Source organism: Homo sapiens, chromosome 18 (assembly GCF_000001405.40).
Source record: "Homo sapiens chromosome 18, GRCh38.p14 Primary Assembly".
NCBI classification, from domain to species: domain Eukaryota; kingdom Metazoa; phylum Chordata; class Mammalia; order Primates; family Hominidae; genus Homo; species Homo sapiens.
This window is the reverse complement of record NC_000018.10, coordinates 77717151-77723943: the sequence shown is the minus strand read 5'-3', so window position 1 is coordinate 77723943 and position 6793 is coordinate 77717151. Positions and strand designations below refer to the sequence as shown.

The following is a 6793-nucleotide window of genomic DNA, read 5'->3' as shown; positions in this document are numbered from 1 at the left end:
TGGATATATTGCATAGAGGTGAAGTCTGGGCTTTTTGTGTAACCATCACTGGAATAGTGAACATTGTACCCAATAGGTAGTATTTCATCCCTTCCCCTACTTCCACCCTCCCACTTATCAGAGATGCCGATGTCTGTTATTCCACTCCCTGTCAGTGTATACCTGTGGTTAAGCTCTCACTTAGAAGTGAGAACATGTGGTTTTTAAACTTTTTTTTCTGAAGCATTTCATTTCGGATAGTGCCCCCTGGTTCCATCCATATTGCTGCAAAAGACGTGATTTCATTCTTTTTAATGGCTGAATAGTAGTTATAATTTCTTTTTAAATGTAAAAATTTTAAAACTTTCAAGTGTTAAAAAATATAATATTATAAAAATTGTAATATGTAAACACTTCCATATTTTATCCTTTGATAGAAATAAATATTGAGAAATAAAGTCAGATATAAACCAACATGAGAACACCACAGATGTTAGGACCATGTCCCCATCTCTTGAGGTTAATAAGGAACAGAACATGTTTTGAGGATGCCTTTAGCACCAGGCCAACCAATGGGGACTTTTACGTATATTAACATCTCATGTAACCTCCCCTCAGACCAAAATTATAATGTAATATTCAATCTCAAAATAAACTGAAGCAGCCATTAATGAAGTTTGAAATTTTTTTCTTTTAATTCCTCTTTGCCACAATTATGATAGCTGTTCTTTCTTTGTTTTCTGTTTTAGAATTAAAATTACATATTGTGGGCCAGGCATGGTGGCTCACACCTGCAACCCCAGCATTTTGGGAGGCAAAGGCAGGTGAATCATTTGAGGCCAGGGTTTTGAGACCAGCCTGACCAACATGGTGAAACCCCGTCTCTACTAAAAATTCAAAAAAAATTAGCCAGGTGTGGTGGCAGGCGCCTGCAATCCCAGCTACTTGGAGGCTGAGGCAGGAGAATTTCTTGAACCCGAGAGGCAGAGGTTGCAGTGAGCCGAGCACTCTGCACTCCACTGCACTCCAGCCTGGGGGACAGAGTGAGACTCCACCTAAAAAATCAAAAAAAAAATTAAAGCAATTAAAATAAAATAAAAATTACATATCATCTAACAGGGGAATTTGGCATCTGGAAATTGGCAAATGCCTGGTCTTTTCCTTTCCATAAGATGATTTTTTCAGAAAGTGAAAAAATGCTGAAAGTATTCTAGGGAATATATCCTGTTTAAGTAGTTACCAATCTTCAATAACTTTGAGTAATGGTATTTGTCATGGAAAAGCATTCCATGTGCAAAGAGAGGACCCTATGATCCTACAGTAGTAAGACCAAATTGAGCATCTCAGAAACAAGGCGGTAATCAGCAAAAGGTGATTAAGAACGGAGGACAAGCTGCACCTTGGGAGGCTGAGGCGGGTGGATCACGAGGTCATGAGATCGAGTCCATCCTGGCTAACATGGTGAAACCCCGTCTCTATTAAAAATACAAAAAATTAGCCGGGTGTGGTGGCGGGCGCCTGTAGTCCCAGCTACTCGGGAGGCTGAGGCAGGAGAATCGCTTGAACCCAGGAGGCGGAGGTTGCAGTGAGCCGGGATGGTGCCATTGCACTCCAGCCTGGGTGACAGCCTGGCACTCCATCAAAGAAAGAAAGGAAGGAAGGAAGGAAGGAAGGAAGGAAGGAAGGAAGGAAGGAAGGAAGGAAGGAGAAAGAAGAGAAGAGAGAAGAGAAAGAAGAGAAGAGAAGAGAAGAGAAGAGAAGAGAAGAGAAGAGAAGAGAAGAGAAGAGAAGAAGGGAAAGAAAAGAAAGACAAGCCTTAGACGCACTCGCAGATTGACGGCAGGCTCCCTACCGAGTACCGCGTGCGGCAAGTGTGCCTTGGGTTAATCGATGCGATCAGTAAGAATTGCTATGGAGACAGTGATAAATATTTTCTGTGTGGAGCTGAGCAAATATGAAGCCGTGATTTAGTTGTTTTATATATTCTTCTTCCTTTGTTTTTCAATCCTAAATGCAGCTAGTTCTAGCTATAGCCAGAGATCATTCTAGAAAGAAATAAGAATTTAAACTGCTCATTTAAATGCCTGAACATTCTTTCTATCTTCTCTGAGGAAATGCATACTAAAAAAAGAAAAAAAAAAACTTAAATGCCATATAGCACTGCTATTTATTATTGATGAAAACAGCAGTGACTGAGCCCAAGGGTGTGTGTGTGTGTGACGGGAGGTGGGTGTGGGCAGCGGAAGATTTGCTACTTTTCTGGATCCGGTCAAACAAAACTAGCTTTTCTTCCATTTTTCATTTTAACATTATGAGGATTATTTAATTTCAAGAAATATTATTCTCTGGGTATAACCCTTTGCAAAATGCAAAACACTGCCCTTTTGCCAGTGCTGTGTGTGGTGTACAGTGTCTGTTAAACTGTAACTTAGAGAAACAAATTTAGTAATTCTTCACTTTGATCCATCAGTTTCACTAAGCCTTGTAGCAGAGAGAATACAAAATAATATTTTAAGGAAATTTGATTCTTGAGGCTGTTGTGCTTCCTTATACATAAATTACCCTTAAACCAAAGTGGTTATTGAAATAAAAATTCCATTTCTCTTACTTTGACAATTCCTTTGGGGGGGCAGGGAAGTTTCCTTCCCCAATCCGAATGAGCAAAATTGCCTGTGACATCGATGTGATTATTACAGTCACACTTTTTATTTTTAATATTTTCCTCTTGACAGATTTATTTCTTTTCAAATCAGAAATATTTCTTCTGAGGAAAAAATATATAGCCCCCTTATGTTTTCTGATACTGAAAATTACCAGATGCCAAGCTGTGAACATAAGGAAATTGAAGACCCTTGTGAGCGACCTCACAGACCACAAAGGTGGAGGAGTGTGATGTAGCGGTTTAGGCAATTTCATCGAGGCTGCTTGGCTCGTGAAAAATGAGAAATAGGTTTTCTATTACTAAATATAATGAATTTCCTTTCTGTCTTGTCACAAATTGTCAAACTTCATTCAGTGGAAGAAAGATCTGGACCAAACATTTATGGAGGGGTCTTATGAATATCCATGTTGTACAGTGAATAAAAGCTGCATGATTTTAGATCACTATTTTATTTTGGCCTAAAATTTTAAACTAATGCAGTTAGTGGGTGAGGTCATGCTGGGCAAACTTTGACCTAGGAAGAAAATACTGTTAAATGGCATGCGCTGAAGTTGCATGCATATGTATTTTGTTGCATATATTAAATATCACATCCAACAGCTGCAGGAAGAGGTTAATCATTTTCTAGACAACCAAAGAGGCCTTATTGAGGATTTGTCATGCCTGTCATGAAGCAACACCAGCAATTTTGTGGGTAATTACATAAGACTCGGTGATCTATAATACAGCAAGAAAGAAAGAAATGACAACGTGGGGTACCTGGTCACCAGATGATATGCAGCATTTTGCTTGAAGTTCAATAACGTCCAGGGAGTGAAAAATCCTTTTATCATCTTTGTTTTCCATGTGTTCTAATAAAAAGGATTGCTCATGCACTTAATAAAGTATGCCTTTGTATTTACTTTTGCTCACTTCCCACCGCCAGAAGTAGTATATTTTCCTGTACATGTTCCACTTCCCATGTGCTCACTTCTTAAAAGGGAAAGAGTGGGATTGAAACTAGATGACCCGGTTCCTGTCCCTGGTACGTCTGTGTGACACCTAGCAAGTCACCTGGATTCCGAGCTCCAGCTTCACCTTCTGAAACATGGGGAAGGAGAGTAACTTCTTCTTACTTAAAACAAGATGAAATGTTTGTGGAAGCTCCCACAAGTCTCCTGGCACATAAGATACACCCAGAGATGTGTGGGATATGCAAGCATTTAAACTGAAATCAGAAGGAACAGGTGAAAGAGGCTTCACAGGAACCAGCAACCCTCACAAAACAAGAACCCAGAAGACTATTGCTATTCTTGAACAAATAATAATGAACAAAATATGTCTGTTGTTCTGGCAGCCCCTAGAGACTTAGAGGAACTTGATCATGTCTCTCCCCACTGCTCGCTGTGCAATGGATACAGCAGGTGGCTTGAGTAGGTGAGCGATAGCCTTCCATAAAGGCACAGGGCAAAGGTTTAGAGACGACATCACATTTGCTCCACATGCAAAGGCTCTGAAAGAGAAGAAAATGAGGGACAGAGAGAGAGAGAGAGATTAGTCATCAAAACCGAAGTGTTTGCATACCACCATAAAAACAAATGAATGAAAAGAGAGGGAGAGATGCTGTAAGAAACCAACATGGCAGTGGAAGAACATTTCTATTTCTGTGTTTGTTTATATATACAATGGAAAACTTGCATTTCCTTGTTTAATATTTTCAGCATTTTACTGGCTGGATCACGGAAATTCAGAGGAGCTCAAGTGAAAGGCACACAGGTGACCTGCGTGAAAAACAGAATGGGATGCATTTGTCTAATGCCATTACCAGTAGTGTACAATGGTATCTCTAATTTTTTAAAAGATAAATATATATATATATATGTGCACAAAATGAGAAATATGTTCCAAATTTCGTACTAACATGTAAAGTAAACCTATCATCCCTCTTGGTAAGCCTCCAGTTAATTCTAGAGGCTGGGACTGTCCACTCATCAGTTCCAGGAACTACATCTATATCTGGATATTCTAGAATCTAGAGTCTTCTAGAATCCCTACAATAGGGGTAGACTATTTAGGTTTTTTAAAAAATATTAATTTATTTTACTTTATTACAGCTCTCTTCCATTGGAAACTGTAACATTTTCCTCTTTAAATCACAGCCTCGTCTCCAGCCCTGAAACTCGTGCCTCATCATGCTAATTCCCATCCCTGGCCTGCTTACCCCACCTCTACAATTGTCCACTTTTAAACTCCCAATATTCTTCTCTCCTGATCCTTGAGAACTTCTTGCATGAGCCACCTTCTCATTTGTCTGAGCAGGGCTCTACACAGTCTTTATTTTATCCTTTCATTCAATAAGCTTTTATTAAGCAACTATTATATGACAGCTGCTGTCATCATAGTTTAGATAGTGGTAAATCTTAAGAAGAAAAAATAAATCATGGAAGAGGAATAAAGTTAAATCACTGGCCTATAATGTATTTTAGATAGTGATAACTGTTAGAAAGAAAAAAATTAATCAGGAAAAGGAGGTAGAAAAAGCTGGAGGTGGCAGTGACAGAATCAAAATTGTTGTGGGTTTCTCAGCGACCCTGTAAGCAGGAGGAACATGACTTAAAAGCTCGAGGGCATAAGTCACAAGTTTATCAGAGGACAAGCACTCCAGGAGGAGGGGCCAGGACCCACAGAGACCCTGAGGAAAAACCAGGAGGCCTTGGTGCCTGGAAAGGAATGGGTCAGGGGACCCCAGGAGTGAGGCCAGGGGGAAAACAACCATGCCATTTCACACGCAGTTTAGAACATTCTTGCATGAGTTTACTTACCTCACCTTTTTCTTTTCCCCTCAAAAAGGATGTCTTTCTAGTTGCAAAGTGGAGAAGAAAAATAGTTAAGAGAAAGGTGGAGTCCTGGATAAGTGAGGAAACAGCAAGAGAAGATTTATTGGAATGTGCTGGATTTTCTCGGGATGTTCAGTACCATTGTGAGCTGTGAAACTGGAGAGATTGCTGATGGGTTCTCGAAATGCATGTTAGAAAATTGTTAGCAACTGTGGAACTCGGGGGAGACATCAGAAAACCAAATTATGCCACACCCATAAATGTTCAAGACGGGAAGAGAAGTGGACTCTGTCCTGATGTTGTTACTCACTTACCCTCAGGGGATCACTGGGAGGGCGCTTGGCCTTGGTATCCAGTGGAGAATTGGTCAACACCCACCGAGATGTGTTGACCGTGAGCCAGACCCTGTCACCAGCAAATTGAACACCCCGAGGCTCTTCCCCATCTCTCCTGTGTCTTCTCTCTGTGACACTGGAAGGAAGCTGCCTACCCCTAGACTCCAAGCCCTGGGTCCCGGCCCCTTTCATCTTTTTAATGACCTCATTCCTGCCACACAATTCATAATGTCCACTCTGTGAGACCTTCTCCAGGAGCAGATGACACACTTTACTATTTCCCTTCTTTGAAAGTCAACACATGCTTAGCCTTTCCCTGCAGTCCCTCAAGCCGATGGCTTCCCCTTTTTCAGATTTGACGCATAATGCTTTCAACTGTGACTTCACCTTCACCCCGACCCATTCAGGGATCTTTCCTCCTAATGCCGCTTGGAAGCAAGAAAGATCGAGGTTGTCTGGAATCAAAACTCAGGTCCCCACCCTGCCCACCCCGGCATTCCATACCCTTCCAATGGCGCACCTGCGACTCCTCACGGCGAGGCCAGCACACCTCTTGAGGGTGTCTGCCTCAGCATCCACGGCAGGTGCTACCTCAGGGCCTCTGACAATTCACTGGCACTGGTAACCTCAATTACCTACGTCCCAGCCACAGAGTCCAGGGAGGTAGCATGGTGCCAGTGGGTCCATGTGAGTTTCTCTGGGTTGCTGCAACAAATTACCACACTCTGGATGACAAAAAAAAAAAATGATAGAAATGTATTCTTTCAGTTTTGGAGGCTGGAAATCTAAAATCAAGGTGTTAGCAGAGTCAGTTCTTCCTGAGAGTCCTACCCCACAGACTCGTTTCCCAGGCAGAACGCAACCAGCGGAGCCCTCTCAGCGGGCAGCTTATTCAGGGATACCTCTTCCTCCCTGTGGGCCCGAGACTCCCCTCCACCACCTGAGACACTGGAATGGCAGGGGGTCTGTTACAGGGGTGGTCTCAGCCCGTGCCCCCCACT

The 6793-nt window shown here is 41.9% G+C and overlaps 1 long non-coding RNA gene across 1 annotated transcript; it reads right to left on the bottom strand.

Moving 5' to 3' along the window:
• Positions 1-993: 993 nt before the first annotated feature.
• Positions 994-6102, bottom strand: LOC107985129 (uncharacterized). The gene is made up of 3 exons (XR_001753547.1): positions 5772-6102; positions 3401-4133; positions 994-1034 (listed from the first exon to the last, which is right to left on the bottom strand). It is a non-coding gene; the product is annotated as an uncharacterized LOC107985129 (long non-coding RNA).
• Positions 6103-6793: the final 691 nt, after the last annotated feature.